Here is a 25,150-nt window from a genome sequence, read left to right as displayed (position 1 = left end):
GCCTACATTTCACAGGATGTATGGAAGTGCCTGGATATCCAGATAGAAACTTGCTGCAGGGGAAGAGCTGTCATGGAGAACCTCTGCTAGGGCAGTGCAGAAGGGAAATGTGGGGTGCAAGCCCAAACACAGAGTCACTACTAAAGCACTGTGTAGTGGAGCTGAGAAGAGGGCCACCATCCTCCAGACCCCAGAATGGTAGATCCACTGACAGCTTGCACCGTGCCCCTGGAAAAGCCACAGACACTCAACTCTAGCTGTGAAAGTAGCCTGGAAAGGGGGCTGTACCCTGAAAAGCCACAGAGGCAGAGCTGCCCAAGGCCATGGGAGCCCACCTCTTGCATCAGTGTGACCTGGATGTGAGACATGGAAGCAAAGGAGTTCATTTTGGAAATTTAAGATTTAAGGACTGCCCATTGGATTTCAGGCTTGCATGGGGCCTGTAGCCACTTTGTTTTTGCCAATTTCTCCCATTTGGAATGGGAGTATTTACCCAATGCCTATAACCCCACTGTGTCTAGGAAGTAACTAATTTGTATTTCATTTTACAGACTCACAGGTGGAAGGGACTTGCCTTGTCTCAGATGAAACTGTGGACTTTTGAGTTAATTCTGTAATGAGTTAAGACTTTGGGGGACGGTTGGGAAGGCATGATTGGTTTTGAAATGCAAGAACATGAGATTTTGGAGGGGCTGGAGCGAAATGAGATGGTTTGTCTGTGTTCCCACTCAAATCTCATCTTGAATTGTAGTTCTCATAATTCCCATGTGTTGTGGGAGGGAACCAGTGGGAGGTAATTGAAACACGGGGGCCACTCTTTCCTGCGCTGTTCCCATGATAGTGAATACGTCTCTTGAGAGCTGATGGTTTTATAAAGGGGAGTTGTCCTACACAAGCTCTCTTGCCTGCCGCCATGTAAGACATGACTTTGCTCCTCCTTTGCCTTTCACCATGATTGTGAGGCCTCCCCAGCCTTGTGGAACTGTGAGTCAATTAAACCTTTTTCCTCTACAGACTACCCAGTCCTGGGTATGTCTTTATTAGAACTGGGAGAACAGAGTAACACATTAGGGCTTGCAAGATATCCTATTGCAAGATATAAAGGTAGAATAGAACAAAATTAACAACATAAATTAAACTCTACTAATGAATGAGATGACGTTGAGGATGCTGCTGCTGCTGATGGTGGTGGTGATGGTGATGATGATGGTGAAATTGTATCCTGTCAGGTTCTGGTTACCAACCTCAAATCCAAATTTATTTTTAGCAGAAAAGTAGAACAAATTTTAAATTATAATAAAACCACTGATTATAATGATGCTTAATTTGTCATAGGCACTGTGTGAACTTATCGTGTATTTATTTTCTAATCCTCAAAACTACCCTTGGAATACACATGTTAAGAAGAAATACCTATGGTAAAGTTGAGGTTTAAAAAGATTAAGCAATTTGCCCAAGGTCAAATGTTTGGTAAATGAAAGAGCTTAGTCAGATTCCAACCCAGATTGTCTGCCTCCAAAACCTGTGTTTTAACCACTACATTCTATAGGCAGCATTGTTTATCAGGTAGGAATTTAGGCCACATTTGTCTACATGGATTGATTGTCTCCAACAGATTTGCCAAAATATTTCTTGGTCTTCACTAACATCAGTCAACTTTTAAAGGGTGAGAATGTATTCTTTGTGGGAAAATGAGTTCACTCAGTGAAAACATCAGGTGAGTGATCTTATATCCCTGTATTCTAAACAAAAATTGTAGAATTCAAAGCAATTGCTGATGTTTTCCAAGATAAGGCACTGTGAGCTTAAAATATATAAAGATATATACAGACAAACACATATTTACACATAGAGATAAAATTGATTTTTACACAGCTGATAATATGGGGGGTTTTATGCATGTCATCAACTAATAGCAAAGAAACAGGTTTGGCTATTTGAAAACGGCTAAATATTGTGGTCTCCCTGAAGATTGATCCTACATGTGATAGTCCTTAATATACACGAATATCAAAACATAAAAGTGTGTTAGATGTTAGATGTACACCACAGTTTACATGTTTATTCTGGATATATTTCACATGCACTCTGTACCAGATACTGGAGACATGAGGAGGTAAATAAAACACATGCCCTCATGGAGCCTTATGAAGTATTAGTCCCATTTTACAGATGAGGAAATCACTGGTTATCCAAAGACACACAGCTAGTAAACAATTAGAATGGAATATAAACTACTAGCTAGCATAGAGCTAATACAGTGTCTTTGATCAGTGTGATGCCTCTCTAAATGTGAAAGATGCCAGGCACAGTGGCTCATGCCTGTAATCCCAGCACTTTGGGAGGCCGAGGCTGGTGGATCACCTGAGGTCAGGAGTTCGAGACCAACCTGGCCAACATGGTGAAACCCTGTCTGTACTGAAAATACAAAATTAACCAGGTGTGGTGGCACACGCCTGTAGTCCCAGCTACTCGGGAGGCTGAGACAGGAGAATCACTTGAACCCAGGAGGCAGAGGCTGCAGTGAGCCGAGATTGCGCCACTGCACTCCAGCCTAGGCAAGACAGAGTGAGACTCCATCTCAAAATAAATTAATTAATTAATAAAAATAATAAGTAATAAATAAATGTGAAAGACACAACTTATCACAGCCAGGAGGATGGGAACGCTAAGAACAGTGTAGGATTCTAATGCCTTGAGATTTCTTCGCTTTTATACTTTTCACTATTCTCTTTTATTTTCTGTTAACAACTTTCAGGAAAATGCTTGAAATAAAAACACTGAGTTGCTATGATCTCAGGGGGCAGCAAGGAATGGGAGAAGGGAGCAAGGAAAATGTAGGCACCTGGTTCCCTCCCCGCTGCTATCTTGGCCCAAAACAGAGTGCAAAATTTGCTGTGCTGCTGGGCAGAAATTTTTAAGTAAATCAAGCCAGCATTTTCTGTTTTGGTCTAAAATGTTTAAAGAAAATTAAAGTTTTACACCGCTTACTATGAATCCTTAAAAGCATAGTTGATTTAGATGAGGGTTTCTCCACAGCAGCACCCTTAACACTTTGAGCCCAATACTTCCTTGTGGGAAGCTGTCCTATTCACCACAGCAAGTTTGGCAGCATCCCTAGTCTGTACCCTCAGGACATCAGCGGCACCACTCTACTTCCTCAAGTTGCAACAACCACAAATGTCTCCAGACATTGTCAAATGTAGTCTGGGGGTTAATATTACCTCTTGTTGAGAATCACTGATTTAGACAAGACTTGACAATCCTTAAAACCTGTTGGAAGATTTCTCCAAAGTGCGAACCCCTAAAGAAATTCCTTTTCTTCTATAAAATGGACACTGTATTCCTTTAGTGGCAGAGCCTTGCACCACACAACTATAGTTGTGGCCCTCTCCCTGGTCCCCACCCACAAACTCTTAAAGCAGGATAAATGATAATGCAATAATCCTAGTTGTTTATAAACCTTTTTATTCGTATATTTCACACGGAATCATTATCTGTCAAGAGCCTCCACAACTTTTAAGCTCTCATTAATTTAAATAATAAATGAGGTTCTTAAGCCCCCTTGTGGCGAAAAGCAGTAACAAGAATTACATCAGAAGAGGGAAAAACAGTGAAGCACAGTTAATATATGAAATTTCTTTACCCCAATATAAAATGTCTCAATGGCCGGGCGCGGTGGCTCACGCCTGTAGTCCCAGCACTTTGGGAGGCCGAGGCGGGCGGATCACGAGGTCAGGAGATCGAGACCATCCTGGCTAACACGGTGAAAACCCCGTCTCTACTAAAAATACAAAAAAAATTAGCCAGGCGTAGTGGCGGACGCCTGTAGTCCCAGCTACTCGGGAGGCTGAGGCAGGAGAATGGCGTGAACCCGGGAGGCGGAGCTTGCAGTGAGCCGAGATAGCGCCACTGCAGTCCGGCCTGGGCGACAGAGCGAGACTCCGTCTCAAAACAAAACAAAAAAAAAAAAAGTCTGGTTTTCCATCAAAGGGGAAGGGGGGTGAAATCTGCAGAATAATTGTTCCACTAACAGAAATTATGAAATTAGATAAAACAATTTCTTGAATTAGTTGGTGTATTAGTTCGTTTTCACACTGCTGGTAAAAACATACCCGAGACTGGCAATTTACGAACGAAAGAAGTTTATTTGACTTACAGTTCCACATGGCTGGGGAGGCCTCACAGTCATGGTGGAAGGCAAGGAGGAGCAAGTCACCTCTTGGGTGTCATGGTGTGTCAGGAGGCAAAGAGAGAGCTTGTGCAGAGAAACTCCTGTTTTTAAAACCATCAGATTGCCAGGCGCGGTGGCTTACGCCTGTAATCCAGCACTTTAGGAAGCCAAGGAGGGTGGATCACAAGGTCAGGAGTTCGAGACCAGCCTGACCAACATGGTGAAACCCTGTCCCCACTAAAAGTACCAAGTCCGGCATGGTGGCCCATACCTGTAACCCCAGCTACTTGGGAGGCTGAGACAGGAGAATCACTTGAGCCCGGGAGGTGGAGCTTGCAGTGAGCCAAGATCGCACCACTGCACTCCAGCCTGAGGGACAAGAATGAGACTCTGTCTAAAAAAAAAAAAAAAAAACCATCAGATCTTGTGACACCCACTCACTGTCAGAGAACAGCACGGGAAGGACCTGCCTCCATTATTCAGTCATCTCCTACCAGGTCCCTCCCACAACACATGGGAATTATGGGAGCTACAAGATGAGATTTGGGTGGAGACGCAGAGCCAAACCATATCATTTGGTAACTGCACAGTTTAAAACCAATAAATTACAGGCAGAACCAGAGTGCTCTAAGAAAAAAAAAAAAAGAATGTTAGGAAAAACTTTGTGTAATTAAAAAAAATGAACAAAATGAAAAAAACTGAGTCCTTATTTTTATTCTAGTTTGTGACTATAAACAAGTAACCTAACTTCTCTGTGTCTCAGTGTCCTGACCTAAATGCAAAATAAAATAAATTGTAGAGCTAAGACACTTTAGACATCATGTAATCCAAGTATTCCTTAAAAGATAACTGAGTCCCATAAAGGTTTACTAAAACCATACTAAGAATCATGCATATCCCCTAAGTTCCTGTCCAATTTATTCTATGATCTAGATCAAATTTTTACATACAAAAATTAAATGGTGGGTGACAAATCAATGTGTAAAGAAAAATGAATATATGTGATTATCTCTACTTCAAAAAGCAAAAAGGGAAACAGGTTGATATTAATTGACAAATGCCCATCAGCGAGTCAGGTAAAATCTCAGTTCTAGGGTACCCTGGGTAGGTATGGGATGGGAATCAACACCTTAAGGATCAACACCTGAGGGAAAGAATTTGGGCAGAGAAGGAGAAGGCCTCAGCTGACCCTTCAGGAGGCTCTGAAGCTAGGATTATCCAGTTTTAGGTGGTCCTTTTCTGAGACAAGCGGTTGCTCATGTGAATCAGTTATTGTGTCCAGACTACCCGAAGGAAGAGCTATGATCTTGAGCAAAAGAAGAGCATTTTCCAGAGAGAATTGAGAGCTTAGGGTTTCATCTGGCGGCACTCCTGACCGCCAGGGAAAATGAGAGGAATAAGTCTTTTGATCTGAAGGGGGCATCTGGGCAGCGCATCTCAGCATCCACTGCAGTAGACAAGCCTGAGTAGTGTACCACAGTCTCTTACCCTCAACACACTAGCCCCTGAGCCTGATGGCAGAACAGAAGTAGAGAGGAGCCAAGAAGCAGTAACGTCTCTGTGTGCCTCGGAAGCCAGAGCTCTGCTTCGGTTATTTTATACCCCTACAGTGCTCAATGAATGGAGAAATCAGGAAAGTCAGGTTGGAGTTCAAATCCTGACTTCATCCTTTGGGCAAATTAATGGACTTTTAATGTTGGTTTCTTCTGGGACATATTTTCCAGGCACATCCTCCCTCATACCTATTTCCACTTAAACCTCTGGCCACAATGGTGATGTTTAATTTAAAAGAGACTATGGGGCCGGGCATGGTGGGTCACACCTGTAATCCCAGCAATTTGGGAGGCCGAGGTGGGCAGATCACCTGAGGTCAGGAGTTTGAGACCAGCCTGGCCAACATGGTGAAATCTCATCTCTACAAAAATACAAAGATTATCTGGGCATGGTGGCATGCGCCCGTAATCCCAGCTACTTGGGAGGCTGAGGCAGGAGAATTGCTTGAACTTGGGAGGCGGAGGTTGCAGTGAGCCGAGTTCATGCCACTGCACTCCATCCTGGGAGACAGAGTCTCGCTCTGTCTCCCCCCCCAAAAAAAGAGAGAGAGAGAAACTATGGTGCCCCATTCAGGTTTGTCCACTGTAGTGGATGCTGTTATGTGTACTGCCCAGATCCTTCCTTCAGATCGAAGGACTATTTCCAATGCAAAAATGTCAATCTCATATATGGTTTATCCATATATATGTCTTACCAACTTAACTGTCAGTTTCTTGAAGGAAGAGCTCATGTTTTCACTATCTTGCATTTGATCATATGTTTTATTGGCATAATACTTTACCGTATGCAAATCCTCCTACACAGGTGATCCCACTTGGATTATTCTGTGAAATAGGGCCTTTACAATGTTGCAGATGAAAACACTGAAGCTCATAGAGAGTAAGTGACTTGCCCAGGGTCACACAGTCATGTGATTGAACTCAGGTACCTGAGCCCATATCCCCAGACACCAAGTTGAATATTTGTTACTCAAGAGGATACAGCCTTTATGTTTATTAATGCTTCATGGTTCATAAAGTGCTAACAAAGAAATTATCCCATTTGACCCAAATAATGATCTGGTAAGATTTTCGTGGCTGGTGCTATTATACATATTTGATAAATGGAGACTCATCCATCAAAGAAACGTACTACTTCTTCTCTGATATGCAAGCTATTATGCCAAGTTAAAGAGAGCCAGGTATGAATGGTTCCAAACCCCTTCAATCAAGAAGTTCACAATCTAGTGCAGGAGATGGACACCTTATTGACTATTACAGTGTGACAAATGCTAAATAAATGCTATTATAGCATGACAATGATAAAGCTAAAGTATATACACAAAGCTATGTAAATGAAAACAGAAAATAATTCTGTTTCCTGAGAGTATTGGGAAAGTCTTCAAGAAGGGGTGATGCTTGCTCTGTGCTTTGTAAGTCTGTCCTCAGGTGGAAAACAATGTAGAATTTCTCAGGGACAGGATGAAAGACACACTGTTGTAATAGTGCATAGTCTTCCCAATAAAAAGCTCCAACACTGAATAACTTGCCAAAGTCTCTTGGTTAGTAAGTAGTCAAGCTGGCATTGGAACAAGACTTTTGCTTCCCAGTTAAATGCTCTCTTTTCCTAGTGTGTTATACAAAGGTGGTAGCACTTAATAAGTGGGGTATACTATGATGCAGTACTTTCTTCATGCTCTCATAATGCAGATATTTTTTCCTTTCCTCTTTTCCAGTGTTCCAAGATGTACATGTTATGATATTTGTTGGGTTTGGCTTCCTCATGACCTTCCTGAAGAAATATGGCTTCAGCAGTGTGGGTATCAACCTACTCGTTGCTGCTTTGGGCCTCCAGTGGGGCACTATTGTACAGGGAATCCTGCAAAGCCAGGGACAGAAATTTAACATTGGAATCAAAAAGTGAGCATCCTTACTGTGGGCTGAATGTTTGCATCCTCCAGAATTCATATATTACACTCTTAACCTCCAACATGATGATATTAAGAGGTGGGGGACTGGGGAGGTGACCAGGTCATGAAGGCAGAGTGTTTATGAATGGGATCAGTGTCCTTGTGAAAGAGGTCCACAGGAGACTCCTGACCCCTTCCACTGTGTGAGAACACAGCTGGAAGGCACCATCTACCAACCAGAAAGGGAGCCCTCATCAGACACCAAGTCTGTCAGCATCTTGATCTTGGGCTTCCCAGCCTCCAGAACCATAAGAAATAGATTTCTGTTATTTATAAACAACCCAGTTTATGGTATTTTGTTATAGCAGTCCAAGCAGACTAAGACAATTCTTTATTTATCAGCCATTTCATTTTCAAATCAATCGTTTCTCTGGTAGTCCCCTGTCATTTACTGTACTGGCTGGCAAATTGCCTCCCTTATGCAACAGAAAATTGTTTAAATTCAAAAATCTGAATCAATGCCTTCCTCTACTGAGCTGGATAATACATTCATGTCTGTAACCTCTCTGGTTTGACTTTGAGGATATGAGAAACCCTCTTCCATAAAAGTATTATTCCTTCCATCTCAGCTACAGGGAGCAAAAATTTCCCATTAGTTATTTTTCAGATTGTTTCTAAAATGTAAACATGTATTCTTGTTGTGCAATAGTAAACACACACCCCAGGAAATAATTCACTTATTAGATCAAAGAATATAAAGGAAAACCCTAAATGAGATAAAAGGTGAGTTAAAATATATACATTAGAGCAATTAAAGAGTGTCTGGTCAAAAAGAGGAGGAATAAGGAAGTGGGAGATGATGAGTAAGCCTGGGAAGCACTGGATGTGCCTGGTGGGAGATGGGATTGCACTTTGGTCAGTTTTATGTTGGGTGTGCATTACTCTTCAATTTATTCTTGTTTCCCTTCAGCATGATAAATGCAGACTTCAGTGCAGCCACAGTTCTGATATCTTTTGGAGCTGTCCTGGGAAAAACGAGCCCCACCCAAATGCTGATCATGACAATTTTAGAAATTGTTTTCTTTGCCCACAATGAATACCTGGTTAGTGAAATATTTAAGGTAAGAGTTAGAAAATTTATACTTTCCTAGCTTTGGGCATCAGTTCTGGCTACAAAAAAACAATGGGTGTCTACGGTATATGGGAGCAAATCTTGGTGAGAGTGATACCGTAGCAAATAGTAACAATAACCATCATTTACTGAGTGCCTACTGTAAACTAGGAGTTTTGTAAACATTATCTTATTTCATCTTCACAACAACACTGCATTGTACGTATTATTTTTATTATCATGTATACACCATAAAAACTGATTATCACAGATGCTGAATGGCTTGCGAGAGTCTGAATTCACCTCCAGATTTTTCTAATTCCTCAACTCTTCTTTTGCCTATCAATGATGAATTCCTTTTTTATATTTTTACTACTAGGTGAATAGCCCCATATAAAACATTGTAGTGGTTTTTGTTAAGGCCTCAGTCAAACTTTTTTCTCCACAAATATTTCATTGATTCCCCCCAGGAATAATAAATAAATAAAGAACATTTAGGGGCATTCTAGTACTTTGTTACTTTGTTTGTATTTCTATTAACATTAATTCAACTGCAAATATTTTTGATAACTTTCTAGATGTTGGGGACTCAATGACAAACAAAATATGAAAGTTCCTGTTTTTATAGAGCTTACACTCTAGTGGGAGAGACAGAAACCAAATAAAGAATTACACATTCATCCACCCACCCAAAGACACAAACACACAAATGTTATTATAAATTGCAATACATGCTATGAAAAATATGTAGGGTAGGTCTATGAGAAAGTGTAACTGGAAGATTAGATTGTAGAATCAAGGAGGGGTTCCCTGAGTAAGTGACAGTTACGCTGGACCTAAAAGATACCTAGAAGTTTTCCAGTAACTAATGGGGAGAAAAGTTCTTTAAGCCAAGGTAACAACAACCAGTCTTGAATTGGTGATGAGGAACTAAAAGAAAACTTCTAGAGTAAGGTGAAAAGACTTGAGCGATACCAGATGAAACCACCAAAGTAAGTGGGTCAGATTAATAAAGACTCTGTAAACTCTGTGTGCTAGCTGAATGAAGACTTATTTGATGGTCCCAAAGGGAAAAACAGAGAAGGTTATTTTGCCTGCAAATATGTGAGCGTTTCAAGATAGGCACAGACTCACATGGTATTTGGAAAGTCCAAGCATGATTAATAGCCACCTCCCATCTTCCTGAAGCCACCTGGTGAAGCAAGGCAAGGTTTCCCAGCTGGGAAGGGACTAAGTGTTGCTGGGAGGCTAAAGGTTGCTAGATAGATCATATATGCTGGGAAGATATTTGACTCATTACAACCAAGTGTGGATCTTCAAGGGGACTGGGTCTGTCTATGTCTAGTAAACAAAGGAACAACAACTAGGAGACCCTTTTTACTTAAATTTGAAAATCTTTCATAAATAGATGTGTGTCATCTTACTGTCTATAAGTACAATTTGACCCTTTGAGTATTCCCTCTAGAGGAAAGAAATGTAGAAAACTGGGTCAAAACCACATCATATCCTAAAGAGGAATCTAAATCTCTTGAAGTGAATCTGGGACCTCAGCTGGTTTTCATGTCATCATAGAGCAGAATTAAAAAAATATGGGTAAAAACTCTGGTTTTTTGAAGTTTCAAGTCTTGAGTTACAATTAAGTGAGCTTTAACTGCAATTTCAAGTGAACATATCATCTTCATTTTGTATCGCAAGCAGTATCTTTTTTTTTTTTTTTTTTTTTGGTTTGAGATTAGTTCTTGCTTTGTCACCTAGGCTGGAATGCAATGTGACAATCATAGCTCACTGTAACCTCAAACTCCTAGGCTCAAGTCATTCTCCTGCCTCAGCCTCCCCAGTAGCTGGGACTACAAGGCGTGCACCACCAGGCCAGGCTGAGCAATACATATTTCACTCAAAATCTCCATCACCTAGAGAAGCAACCTTGCATGTCTTGTGTGCCCACCAGGGAACTAGCACTTTAGAAATATGTTCTTATCTAAGTCTCACCACAAACTCTGTTGAGAGTGGGTAATATTTCCCCATTTTACAGAATCCTTAGATCAGAGATGTTTAATAATTTGTCTAAAGTCACATTGCAAGGAAGTAACTGACCTAGGATTGAAAGTCAGTTCTGTATGGCTCCAAATTCTGTACTATTTCTGTTTTACTCCCTGTTTTACCCCCCTTTCTCTGACACAATCTTTCTGTCCCTCTTTAATTTTTTTAAGTTGTTTAACCAACAATGCAATTCTTTCATTGACTTTCCTCCCATAAATGAGTCTCAGGTTCACCTCTATTTATGTGAATGCTATTTTGTCCCTCAGGCCTCTGACATTGGAGCATCAATGACGATCCATGCCTTTGGGGCCTACTTTGGCTTGGCTGTAGCAGGCATCTTGTATCGATCTGGACTGAGAAAGGGGCATGAAAATGAAGAGTCCGCATACTACTCAGACTTGTTTGCAATGATTGGTGAGTGTGGATAAACTTGCTTGAATCTTATCTATTTGAAAAGGCACCAGAGAAGGTTAACTTCAACAAGGGTGTGAGATGCTCAAAAAGAACATCCAAGCCAGGCATGGTAGTGAACGACTGTATCCTCAGCTACTCAGGAGGCTGAGGTGGGATTACTTGAGCCCAGGAGTTTGAGTCCAGCCTGGGTAACATAATGAGACTCCATCTCTAAAAAATAATAATAATAATAATAAATTCAATTAAACTTTGAAAAAATGAGCATCTTTTGCATACTACTTTATGCTGGCTCAATTCTCCTCTTTTCTCTTAACTGTAGATAATCAAGACTAAACAGAGACATTGTCAGTGGCCAAAGGAAACTACATCCTCCAGGCTGGGCGTGGTGGCTCACGCCTGTAATCCCAGCACTTTGGGAGGCCGAGGCGGGTGGATCACGAGGTCAGGAGTTCGAGACCAGCCTGACCAACATGCTGAAACCCCGTCTCTACTAAAAATACAAAAAAAAGTTAGGTGGACATGGTAGCCCGCACCTGTAATCCCAGCTACTCAGGAGGCTGAAGCAGAAGAATTGCTTGAACCTGAGAGGTGGAAGTTGCAGTTAGCAGAGATCAAGCCACTGCACTCCAGCCTGGGTGACAGAGGGACACTCCATCTCAAAAATAAATAAATAAACAAATAAATAAGTAAATAAATAAATAAAGCAAACTGCATCCTCTGGACTGTCTTCCATATTCAGAACTAATATCCCCTCTTTTGGTTCACTACAGGGACTCTCTTTCTGTGGATGTTTTGGCCCAGCTTTAACTCGGCCATTGCTGAACCTGGAGACAAACAGTGCAGGGCCATTGTAAACACGTACTTCTCTCTCGCTGCCTGTGTGCTCACAGCCTTTGCCTTCTCCAGCCTAGTGGAGCACCGAGGCAAGCTCAACATGGTAAGTGCCGCCTTAGCCCTCATGGAAATTTTGCTTCACAACACTGACAGTTGCTCAGATAAGTAGTAGGTAATTTCTGCATCACTGCTGAACTCTCAAGACAAATCAGAAGCAGACCTTGTAGAATGTTCTAAAAACAACAACATTTATTCATTAATTCACTTATTCATCAAATCTGTACCCTGGGCTGGGCGCAGTGGCTAATGCCTGTAATCCCAGCACTTTGGGAGGCCTAGACAGGGGGATTACCTGAGGTCAAGAGTTCAAGACAAGCCTGGCCAACATGGAGAAACCCTGTGACTACTAAAAATACAAAAAAAAAAAAAATTAGCCAGGCGTGGAGGCAGACACCTGTCATCCCAGCTACTCGGGAGGCTGAGGCAGGAGAATCACTTGAACCTGGGAGGTGGAGGTTGCAGTGAGCCGAGATTATGCCATTGCACTCCAGACTAGGCAACAAGAGCGAAACTCCATCTCACAAAGAAAAAAAAAAAGAAAAAAAAAATTTTTGTCCTGGAAGATTAAAAAATGTTCTCAAGGGATTTACAGTCTAGTAGAGAATGAAGGTAGTCTTGTAAAAATCTTTGATTTGAGGTATATTTCTTTAATAATAGAGTTAACTGCTCCCAAGTTCTGAGAAAAGATTTCTTAGAAACAAGATTTATCAAACAGCAGAAAAAGAGAGTGGGATGATGCACACTGATTCTATTCTCCCAACTGCAAACATTCCTCTCAAAGAAATAACAACTAAATGCAATGTGGGATCTTCAATAGGATACTAGAAAAAATTTCAGTAGGAATAATGGTGAAATTCAAATGTCTTTAATAGTATTTTATCAATGCTAATTTCGATTCCATGGTTATGTAAGATTAACATCTTATTTGAGAAACTGGATGAGGGACATATGGAAACATTCTGTAGCATTTTTACAACTTTTATGTGTCTGCAATTAGTTCAAAATAAAATATTTTTTAAATTCCCCCAAATTGGTCTCTTGAGTTTCTTGCCTATGAGCTAGAGAAACACCAGTAAAGGAGTAACCCTCAGATCAGCCAGTCTACCCTTCTAGCTGGGTGGGGCAGGTGGGGTGGAGTGGGGAGGAAAATGCTATTGTAATTTATTTTTTAAGCATTGCTGAGGACATATATCTTATTTCTCCACAAATTGTCTCATGAGAGGTCATTAAAAACAATGAAAAGGAAAAATCGCACAGTTCAGTGTTTCTCTTTTAAAAGTACTGATGACCTCTGCTTCTCAGACAGAATAGCCAGACTGCAACTTTTCTGAGAAATTCTGCTAAACAAAAATTGATTCCTGTCCGGGCACAGTGGTTCATGCCTGTAATCCCAGTGCTTTGGGAGGCCAAGGTGGGTGGATCACCTGAGGTCAGGCATTCCAGAACAGCCTGGCCAACATGGCGAAACCCCATCTCTACTAAAAATACAAAAATTAGCTGGACATGGTGGCGTGCACCTGTAATCCCAGCTACTAGAGAGGCTGAGGCAGGAGAATCACTTGAACCCAGGAGGTGGAGGTTGCAGTGAGCCAAGATCGCGCTGCTGCACTCCAGCCTGGGAGACAGAGCAAGACTCCATCTCGAAAAAAAAAAAAAAAAATCAGTTCCTCTTTCCTTCATCCTCAAATGTCCTCAATCCAGTGACATTTGCAAAAACTATTGTCTTTCATATGTAATGTGTACATTTCAATGTCTCTACATTTCCTCTTTGAATATTAGAATATCATAGACTACAAAACACACGGTGGCCATAGTCATCTTTTGGTTCATGATAACCACAAATGTGTTCCGAAAACTGCATAAATAGAAAAAACATTGCGAGAATATTTGCTCTAAACACTCCTACCCTCCCACTACAACATCTTTTGATTTTCTCAAATGTCTTCCACCACTGGCCTTAAAGAGTTAAGCTGATTACTCATTCACTACCAAGGGACCGGCAAGAAAGATACCAAATGTCAACTTCTTGAAAGAAAGGCCTTCTATAAATCCAAACAAACCTCTTTTTAAAAAAGAACCAATAGCCCTTTCAACTGAAGAATGTGATGTGGGTCTCTTGAACTCTAGAATCCTCTGATCCTTCTGAATTCTCCATCATCCAGCTCACCTCATTTATGTTTCTGCCGCTCACACAGGTTCACATTCAGAATGCCACCCTTGCTGGAGGAGTTGCTGTGGGCACTTGTGCGGATATGGCAATTCACCCATTTGGTTCTATGATTATTGGGAGCATTGCAGGAATGGTCTCTGTGCTTGGATACAAGTTCCTGACTGTAAGTACAGCAGATGTTCTGAGTCAAACTCTGAATCTGCACCTTTTTTCTCACATGTCCCACCAGCAGAAAAAAAGCTACTAAGTTTTATTTTATAAACATTTTTATTTGGAGACCATTTGCCTTCTTTTTGGAAATACCACTCCCATTTCAGTGGTTCAGTGGTTCTACTCTGCCCTGACTTCTGTGTAACAGGAAAGAATCCAGTATCAATTATTTATAATTTAGTTTGAATTAAATGTTAAGTACATGGCCATTACTTTCCTTTGGGACTGCTCCATTGAAGTTGTTGTTGTTATTTGTCTTATGTAATTAAGGACTCTGCTCTTTTAAGAGATTTAGGATGTCGGCCAAGCATGGTGGCTCACAGCTATAATCCCAGCACTTTGGGAGGCTGAGGCAGGCAGATCACCTGAGGTCAGGAGTTCAAGACCAGCCTGGACAACATGGTGAAACCCCCGTCTCTACTAAAAAAAAAAATACAAAAATTAGCCGGGCATGGTGGCGGGTACCTGTAATCCTAGCTACTGGGGAGGCTAAGGCAGGAGAATCACTTGAACCCGGGAGGTGGAGGTTGCAGTGAGCCGAGATGGCACCATTACCCTCCAGCCTGGGCAATGGAGTGAGACTCTGTCTCAAAAGAAAAAAAAAAAAAAGAGAGATTTAGGATGTCATCAGTAGGTGAGAAGGAGTAGAATGTGAAATGATTCCTTTCAAACCCATCCACTAAAGACTGAAATGGGCAGTTTTGCCACAACTATATATTCAAATCCTTTAACTTTAAGTGGACTTCAGATATGGATGGAGAACTGTGCTCTACGTAAAATTTCTTCTGGGTGGAGAAGGAAATGGGGAGATGTAGTTCAGAGAATGCAAAGTAGCAGGAATACAGGAGGAATATGCCTAGAGCGCTAATGCACAGCATGAGGATTATAGGTAGTAAAATTGTACTATATATCTGTACATAGAATTTATTCTAAATGAGGAGATTTTTAGCTACTCTTAACACAAAAAAACAACAATAAAAGTAACTATGTAAGATGTTGGAGACGTTAATATTCTTCACTATATGACCTTTTTCTCTCTATATGTATCTCATAACATCATGTTGTATACCTTAAATATACATAAAAATTATTTATAAAATACTTTTTCTCCATGGAAGAATAGAGCCCAGCTATAGCTCTGTTTCAGTTCTAGAGTTCTATATGTTTAACTAAATAATAAACCTTCTTCCTTTTATAATTTTAGCCACTTTTTACTACTAAACTGAGGATCCATGATACATGTGGGGTCCATAACCTCCACGGCTTACCTGGTGTAGTGGGAGGCCTTGCAGGCATTGTGGCAGTAGCAATGGGCGCCTCCAACACGTGAGTAAAAGAATGGGTTTTTCAGCCCCTGTGGTCCCATGATGTTTTCTCTCACTCTGAGAAATGGGAGAGTTTTCATTTTAGCTGTTCTGGCCATGGTTTGTATTGTCTTTACTGGAGCCAAAGAGACGCGCCTGAGAGAAGATCATTAGAATAAAATTATATTGGAAGAGGCATTTTAACTGAAATTGTTAATTTAAAAAAATTAACAGTGTTATTTTAAATGTCTTTACCAGAAACAACTGTCTCCTAGCAGACAGGGAAATTTGATAATCACAGTCAGATTATAGAAGGATTAGTCTTTTTCTTGATCTCTCCAAAATGGAGGAGGAGGCACATATGATGAGCTGAACAGTCAGTTCCATCCAATCCACACAAAGAAGGATGAGTTGGAATAATACAGAAAGCAGTTGGTTCTGCAGAATCAACAACACTGGTATATGGCCCCAACTCTGCTACTAACTAGTTATGTGACCTCTGAGGTATCACTCAGCATTTCTGGTTTTCAGTCTTCTCCTCTGTAAAATAAGAAGATTGGAGTATTTATTCTCCAAAATCCCTTCTAGCTCTATCAGATGTAGATTCTTCCCTAAGTTGGGTATAAATGTTTACTTAAATGACCAGAGGAAAAACAACTATCAAGCAAACCCCAGAGAATGGAAGGGATGCCACAATATTGGAACAATTTGGTATGAATGTCATCCATGTGAAAAAGCTGAGAAGATCATAGAGTCCAGATCACACAGAGTAAATTAAGAAAAATCAGAATGCTCAATTTTTTTAAATTGTGTGTACTTTAAGTTCTGGATACATGTGCAGAATGTGCAGGTTTATTACATAGGTATACATGTATCTTGGTGGTTTGCTGCACCCATCAGCCAGTCATCTAGGTTTTAAGCCCCGTGTGCATTAGGTATTTGTCCTAATGCTCTCCCTCCCCTTGTACCCCACCCCCCATCAGGTCCGGCTGTGTGATGTTCTCCTCCCTGTGTCCATGTGTTCTCACTGTTCAACTCCCACTTATAAGTGAGAACATGCGGTGTTTGGTTTTCTGTTCCCGTGTTAGTGTGCTGAGAATGATGGTTTCCAGCTTCATCCATGTCCCTGCAAAGGACATTAACTCATTTTTTTTTATGGCTGCATAGCAGAATGCTCAATTTTTAAATCCAATTGAAAGCATGAAGAAGAGGGAAATGTGTGTCTAGAAATGTCTGAATGATCACTAACTAGAGGTGCATAATTTAAAAAGAAAAATCTTATCTTCAGTTTTAGCAGATTAAAATTTAACCCTGTTGAGATCAATAATAATAAATACTTGAAAAACGCATTTAATCATATTTCCTACTAAGTAGTTTGCTTCCTTCTTCATGTGTACAGTTGACACATTTCTTCTGTATTTTTTAACCCTTTTTGCAAATTTAGAAGACAGCTCCAGAATATGCACATCTTTTTCAGTTCCTGAGACTGTAGAGATCAAACACTAAAATATTTTAATGCAAATTAAGCATGATAAAAGCCTGTGTGAATGAGCTCAACTCCTCAGTGTTGGAGTGTGCATACACTGTGCAAACACCCTAAGAGGTGCCTATGATTAAGAATTCTTGAGCATCATGCCTAGAACAGTTTCACAGATGCAATAAAACACGTCTATCTGGCTCTCAAAAGGGAGGCCTCACTGGGAGGTCAGACATTGGTTAAGTCTCATGGTTGAGGGTCTGGTCCTTGGGAATGCAGGTTTAGAAACATCTCAATTTATTCGTTGGTGGGGGTAGGAGGCAGAGGAATATCAGAAGAGGGGAAGGGGGGCAAGCCTTGAAGGTGCATTCACTTCGGTAAAATTTACATATCTCACACCAAATAAAATACTGCCTGAGAACCAAACTACTTACATGTGTCTATTCAGAATATTAAAATGCAAATTAGGTTTTTGGTAAGCATAGAACAAGGGAAAGTTAATATTCTTAAGGGATGTTTTTGCAAATTATAGCAGCATAACTCTAGTAATGCTGTTAATTTTGTATAAATCAGTGTTTTCCAAGTTTATTTGATCACAGAACACTTGTTATCAAAAATATCTTTTAAGACCTTGTAAAAGATCTTGGCAAATTCCTATAAAATTAACAGGAAATTTACAAAAGAAGAAAATCAAATAAGTATATATAAAATACTCAACTTCACTCATAATCAAAGAAATGCAAATTAAAACAAGCTACCAGTTTTTCACTTATCAAAGCGATAAAGCATGAATGAATTAATAATAATAATAATACTGAATAATGGCTAAAGTAAAAAATTGGAATATAAATTGTACAATTTTCTATTTGGAAAAGTTCTTAAGAAGTATATAGACCGGACACGGTGGCTCAAGCCTGTAATCCTAGCACTTTGGGAGGCCGAGGCAGGTGGATCATCTGAGGTCAGGAGTTTGAGACCAGCCTGGCCAATATGGTGAAACCCCATCTCTACTAAAAACACAAAAAGTACCCGGCATGGTGGTGGGTGCCTATAATCCCAGCTACTTGCGAGGCTGAGTCAGGAGAATTGCTTGAACGCGGGGAGGAGACAGCAGTGAGCTGAGATCACCTCACTTCACTCTAGCCTGGCAACAGAGCGAGACTCCGTCTCAAAAAAAAGAGGTATATGTAGCCTTTTACTAATATTCTCATTTCTAGATAGGTTTTATATTAGGAAAATAATCAGACAAGTTCATAAGCATGTTCAGAGGAGATGTTCTCACAGCATTTTTAAAAATATGAAACACTGGAAGCAACCAATACTTTGCACAATTCAAACTATGGTCCAGATCTACACTGACTCACATAAACGGATCCCTAAAACATATTTAATGTGAAAATAAGTAATATAGTAAGATTGCATTTTAATAAAAATACATGTTTTTATTTTACATTTTTATTCTGATACAATCTGAGGGATATTAAACTTTTCTGCTTCTTTTTGTTATCTGCAGTTTCTAATGTTTTCACAATGATATGTTACTTGTGCAGTTTTTTTATATATTAAAATATGTAAACCCTTCAGATAAGGAGAAAAAAAAAGGAATCTGAGTTTAGTGCATCCTTTCCCTTGGATGATGAGACTGGAAGACCAAAAAAACTCTTATTTTCCAATTGTTTTATTCATTGGAGTCACTCATTCAGTCTTTCAACAACTCTTTATTGTCTGCTATGAGTAAGCTGCTGTGCTAAGAAGATCCCCACATTCCCAGGTCATTTGTCATTCATATAACACCTTTATGCACTTCAATGGCCTTTTATCACATTCTTTCATTCTCAAAATTACAAAGTATTTTTTACTAATTTCAGTTTAAGGCAATGACTTCTAAGATGACATATAGAGATATACTTGAATATCTTCAATGAGCTATCTCTACAATATATGCTGAAATTAGCTTTAGTAGCTCATGTTGTTTTATGTATTACTCTATCCTCTGTTCCTAGAAAAGAAACTGACAGAGAGTGGATACTCAATATTTATTAAATGAATCAGATCAGGTATCAATTTTTTGAGAGTGCTAAACCCTCCCTAAGGAAAGTCTTATTTCCAAAGTTTACATGAAAAGATGATTCTCTTCTTTAAGGTGTATCTCAGAATTTTCTAACACTGCTCAAGAGTTTCAAAGAAAATAAGAATATGAAAGAAAAATTGTAACAAATGCTTAATTTGCTGCTGTGTAATGTTACACTCTGGCCTGAAGATGGCAGTCATCCACACCCTCAGTGAGTGAGACTTTCTTTGGCTGAGATCCAGGAAAGACACTGATTCTTTTTTGTTTGCTTCCTTAGGTCTATGGCCATGCAGGCAGCTGCACTGGGTTCCTCTATCGGAACAGCAGTTGTTGGAGGTCTGATGACAGGTCAGCATAAAAAGTGAACACTTCCCTGTATCTTATGCTCTCAGATTATTTACAATAGATAATTAATGAGCAAGTCAATTGCTAAATTCAAAAATGTTCTAAACTTCTGGCAGTAAAGTAATTATGTCATTTAAAGGGGATGATTTTATAATAGTATATAAGCTACTATGCAAGTAGATTTTCCTCTTCAGCGTCACAACATGACTCATTTTCCCTCTACCGTCACAGGTTTAATTCTAAAGTTGCCTCTCTGGGGACAGCCATCTGACCAGAACTGCTATGATGATTCTGTTTATTGGAAGGTACTGTACAGTATTCTAAACAAGAATGTGAACGATGACTCCATTAGTGAAAGCTTTACACACTTCAAGCCTAGATATCTGTGTGCATAGGTGTGATGAAATTGAGTTAGCCTGGCATGGTAGGTAGCTCACACATGTAATCTCAGCACGTTGGGCGGCTGAGGCTGGAGGATTGTTTGATGCCAGGAGTTTGGGTCCAGCCTGGGCAACTCTCTACAAAAATTATAAATAATAAATTTAAAATTTTTCTTTCAATGGGATGTCAAGTGTAAAAGAAAAATAAATAAATGAAAAGAAACTGAATGAACTACCTATTTATAGAAAGAAATTGAGATGATGTGCCCAGCCAGATAAAATCAGAAGTTATGGTATTTTCTAAAGCAGAAGGAAAGAGAAAGAAAGACAGACAGAAAGACAGAAAGACAGAAAGAAAAGAATTTAGTTAGTAAATGTTGTTTCACTCCTCTGAGAGCCATAAAAAGCTATTCGTAAAAATAATATGAATTCTCAGAAATAGTGTGAGATTTTATACCATATATAGTCCACAGGTTTATTTGGTTAAAAACAAAAAACAAAAGAAATTTAACATAATTTTAAACTATGCTATACATAAAAGTAGTCAAAAGCAAGTGAAATATATAAGGTTGAAGAATTTGAGTGAGTACACATCAAGAGGTCCTATGAATAACGAAACATCAGCCTCTTTCTATCCTCCAGTTTCTCTTTACTCTATTGATACTTTTTCCCAAATTATTTCCCGCAAAGCTTGAGAGGGATAGATGTTTGGGTGTTTTCAGCAAAATTTCAGAGAGAATGAGTTTGGAAAAGCGGGAATGTAGTCAGGGTGGGTGAGATAAATGTTTTATTCTTTTATTTTTCTTCAACTCAAACAATTTTTATTCCCAGTTCTTTCCAAGCTTGAATAATAATTACCAAAAATATTTTTGTTTCAATACTAATTTCTGACAAGAACAGTGAAATAAACTATTAAGTGCCCTCAAACTTGTTTTTTTAAAGGTCCCTAAGACGAGATAACTTGACAATCAGTTCCATGGACATGGTGACCACAGCCAGCTGGAACCTGAAGTCTAAACACCATTCCTGCTCTCCAGCTTCCTTTCCCATTATCCAGAATCAAGTCCAAATAAACAAAAAGGGAGTAACCAAAGAGAGTATGGACCAGAGTGAATAGATCCTAAGTCCCAAATGGCCAGTGTAAAAATGTCCTTATGTCTGATGCTGTCTCTTGCTCTTCAATGATTAATTGAGGGGATGTTACTCATAAAACAGATAATCAAATAGATCTTCTCCAGGATTCCCAAAAAGCTTTTGGCAGTGAGTAAATACAGAGTAAACATGTCAGTTTCTTAATGTAGACACTATGTCTTCAATCCCAAAAATTATAAAACTGAAACCCATGAAGCAAGAATAGATGTGAGAAATCTATGTAAAAAAATAATTAAAGAAATGCATGTGTGTAAAGTAGTAATATGATGATTTTAGGTAGTGCTTTTTATTTTAAAAATAGTCTAGTTAGTAATGTTGTATCCTTGCATGAATATTATTCTTAATTCCTTTTGCATGTTGACTATTTGCAACGAGCTCAAATGCTATCTGATCAAAGTCTATTTTGCATAAAATGTCCAATAATTAAATATTGTTATAAAATAAAACATCAGTCTTTGACTCTCCTTTCTTTGGTAGTTGGAATTCATGTCAGTAACAAGCACACAGGTGCACACACACACACTTCATATTTAGTCCACACTCAATTTAAATATTTATCATGTATTTGCTATTTTTAAAAAATCAAGTTAATGTCTCATTATAGAATGTTGTAAAAAGTTAAATTTTAGAAAAGATAACTGACATCGTCAAAAAATCATTTTTAAGAAAATCAAATAACTTATTTTTTCTATCTGGAAGCTTTTAAAGATTTTTCTTCTAGCCTTGGAGTCCTGAAATGTTCCCAAGATGTATCTAGGTATCAACAAGGAAATCAGCCCTACCATAATTAACAGAACACCAGCTTCAGAATGAACTTAAAAATTATAACTAAGAGTGGATTATTTAATATTTTATTCCTTGAAAAAAATTATATAATTTATATTTTATTCATGTATATTACTTGACATAGTTGACTTCTTTTCTTTTATTTTATTTTATATATATAATTTTTATTATACTTTAAGTTCTAGGGTACATGTGCACAACGTGCAGGTTTGTTACATATGTACACATGTGACTTGTTGGTGTGCTGCACCCATTAACTCATCATTTACATTAGGTATATCTCCTAATGCTGTCCCTCCCCCCTCCCCCCACCACACAACAGGCCCCAGTGTGTGATGTTCCCCTTCCTGTGTCCAAGTGTTCTCATTGTTCAATTCCCACCTATGAGTGAGAACATGCGATGTTTGGTGTTTTGTCCTTGCGATAGTTTGCTGAGAATGATGGTTTCCAGCTTCATCCATGTCCCTACAAAGGACATGAACTCATCCTTTTTTATGGCTGCATAGTATTCCATGGTGTATATATGCCACATTTTCTTAATCCAGTCTATCATTGATGGACATTTGGGTTGGTTCCAAGTCTTTGCTATTGTGAATAGTGGTGCAATAAACATACATGTGCATGTGTCTTTATAGCAGCATGATTTACAATCCTTTGGCATATACCCAGTAATAGGATGGCTGGGTCAAATGGTATTTCTAGTTCTAGATCCCTGAGGAATCGCCACACTGTCTTCCACAATGGTTGAACTAGTTTACAGTCCCACCAACAGTGTAAAAGTGTTCCTATTTCTCCACATCCTCTCTAGCACCTGTTCTTTCCTGACTTTTTAATGATCACCATTCTAACTGGTGTGAGATGGCATCTCATTGTGGTTTTGATTTGCATTTCTCTGATGACCAGTGATGATGAGCATTTTTTCATGGGTCTGTTGGCTGCATAAATGTCTTCTTTTGAGAAGTGTCTGTTCATATCCTTTGCCCACTTGTTGATGGGGTTATTTGTTTTTTTCTTGTAAATTTGTTTAAGTTCTTTGTAGATTCTGGATATTAGCCCTTTGTCAGATGAGTAGATTGCAAAAATTTTCTCCCATTCTGTAGGTTGCCTGTTCATTCTGATGGTAGTTTCTTTTGCTGTGCAGGAGCTCTTTAGTTTAATTAGATCCCATTTGTCAATTTTGTCTTTTGTTGCCATTGCTTTTGGTGTTTTAGACATGAAGTCCTTGCCCATGCCTATGTCCTGAATGGTATTGCCTAGGTATTCTTCTGGGGTTTTTAAGGTTTTAGGTCTAACATTTAAGTCTTTAATCCATCTTGAATTAATTTTTGTGTAAGGTGTAAGGAAGGGATCCAGTTTCAGCTTTCTACATATGGCTAGCCAGTTTTCCCAGCACCATTTATTAAATAGGGAATCCTTTCCCCATTTCTTGCTTTTGTCAGGTTTGTCAAAGATCAGATGGTTGTAGATGTGTGGTATTATTTCTGAGGGCTCTGTTCTGTTCCGTTGGTCTATATCTCTGTTTTGGTACAAGTACCATGCTGTTTTGGTTACTATAGCCTTGTAGTATAGTTTGAAGTCAGGTAGTGTGATGCCTCCAGCTTTGTTCTTTTCGCTTAGGATTGACTTGGCAATGGGGGCTCTTTTTTGGTTCCATATGAACTTCAAAGTGTTTTTTTCGAGTTCTGTGAAGAAAGTCATTGGTAGCTTGATGGGGATGGCATTGAATCTAAAAATTACCTTGGGCAGCATGGGATTTTCACGATATTGATTATTCCTACCCATGAGCATGGAATGTTCTTCCATTTGTTTGTATCCTCTTTTATTTCGTTGAGCAGTGGTTTGTAGTTCTCCTTGAAGAGGTCCTTCACATCCCTTGTAAGTTGGATTCCTAGGTATTTTATTCTCTCTGTAGCAATTGTGAATGGGAGTTCACTCATGATTTGGCTCTCTGTTTGTCTGTTATTGGTGTATAAGAATGCTTTTGATTTTTGCACATTGATTTTGTATCCTGAGACTTTGCTGAAGTTGCTTATCAGCTTAAGGAGATTTTGGGCTGAGACAATGGGGTTTTCTAGATATACAATCATGTCATCTGCAAACAGGGACAATTTGACTTCCTCTTTTCCTAATTGAATACCCTTTATTTCTTTCTCCTGCCTGATTGACCTGGCCAGAACTTCCAACACTATTTTGAATAGGAGTGGTGAGAGAGGGCATCCCTGTCTTGTGCCACTTTTCAGAGGGAATGCTTCCAGTTTTTGTCCATTCAGTATGATATTGGCTGTGGGTATGTCATAAATAGCTCCTATTATTTTGAGATATGTCCCATCAATACCTAATTTATTGAAAGTTTTTAGCATGAAGGGCTGTTGAATTTTGTCAAAGGCCTTTTCTGCATCTAGTGAGATAATCATGTGGTTTTTGTCGTTGGTTCTGTTTATATGCTGGATTACATTCATTGATTTGCATATGTTGAACCAGCCTTGCATCCCAGGGATGAAGCCCACTTAATCATGGTGGATAAGCTTTTTGATATGCTGCTGGACTGGATTTGCCAGTATTTTATTGAGGATTTTTGCATCGATGTTCATCAGGGATATTGGTCTAAAATTCTCTTTTTTTGTTGTGTCTCTGCCAGGCTTTGGTATCAGGTTGATGCTAGCCTCATAAAATGAGTTAGGGAGGATTCCCTCTTTTTCTATTGATTGGAATAGTTTCAGGAGGAATGGTACCAGTTCCTCCTTGTACCTCTGGTAGAATTCGGCTGTGAATCCATCTGGTCCTGGACTTTTTTTGGTTGGTAAGCTATTAATTATTGCCTCAATTTCAGAGCCTGTTATTGGTCTATTCAGAGATTCAACTTCTTCCTGGTGTAGTCTGGGGATGGTGTATGTGTCCAGGAATTTATCCATTTCTTCTAGATTTCCTATTTTATTTGTGTAGAGGTGTTTATAGTATTCCCTGATGGTAGTTTGTATTTCTGTGGGATTGGTGGTGATATCCCCTTTATCATTTTTTGTTGCATCTATTTGATTCTTCTCTCTTTTCTTCTTTATTAGTCTTGCTAGCGGTCTATCAATTTTGTTGATCTTGTCGAAAAACAAGCTCCTGGATTCATTGATTTTTTGAAGGATTTTTCGTGTCTCATCTCCTTCAGTTCTGCTCTGATCTTAGTTATTT

At 39.3% G+C, this 25,150-nt stretch overlaps 1 protein-coding gene across 2 annotated transcripts in view; it reads left to right on the top strand.

The window, feature by feature from the left end:
* Window positions 1-21,630, top strand: part of RHAG (Rh associated glycoprotein) — a 31,665-nt gene extending 10,035 nt beyond the window's left edge. The window contains exons 2-10 of one of the 2 annotated variants that reach the window (NM_000324.3): window positions 7,443-7,626; window positions 8,587-8,737; window positions 11,034-11,181; window positions 11,952-12,118; window positions 14,271-14,408; window positions 15,660-15,781; window positions 19,585-19,655; window positions 19,884-19,957; window positions 20,975-21,630. In NM_000324.3, the coding sequence (NP_000315.2) occupies window positions 7,443-7,626; window positions 8,587-8,737; window positions 11,034-11,181; window positions 11,952-12,118; window positions 14,271-14,408; window positions 15,660-15,781; window positions 19,585-19,655; window positions 19,884-19,957; window positions 20,975-20,992 (1,073 nt within the window). In that variant the 3' untranslated portion in view covers window positions 20,993-21,630. Of the gene's footprint in view, window positions 1-7,442; window positions 7,627-8,586; window positions 8,738-11,033; window positions 11,182-11,500; window positions 11,896-11,951; window positions 12,119-14,270; window positions 14,409-15,659; window positions 15,782-19,584; window positions 19,656-19,883; window positions 19,958-20,974 lie in introns of those variants that run through there. The other variant, XM_011514788.2, reaches the window with a different exon arrangement.

This window comes from Homo sapiens, chromosome 6, assembly GCF_000001405.40.
Source record: "Homo sapiens chromosome 6, GRCh38.p14 Primary Assembly".
Classification (NCBI taxonomy): domain Eukaryota; kingdom Metazoa; phylum Chordata; class Mammalia; order Primates; family Hominidae; genus Homo; species Homo sapiens.
Note: the sequence above shows the minus strand (reverse complement) of the source record. Positions and strands in the feature narration are given on the sequence as shown.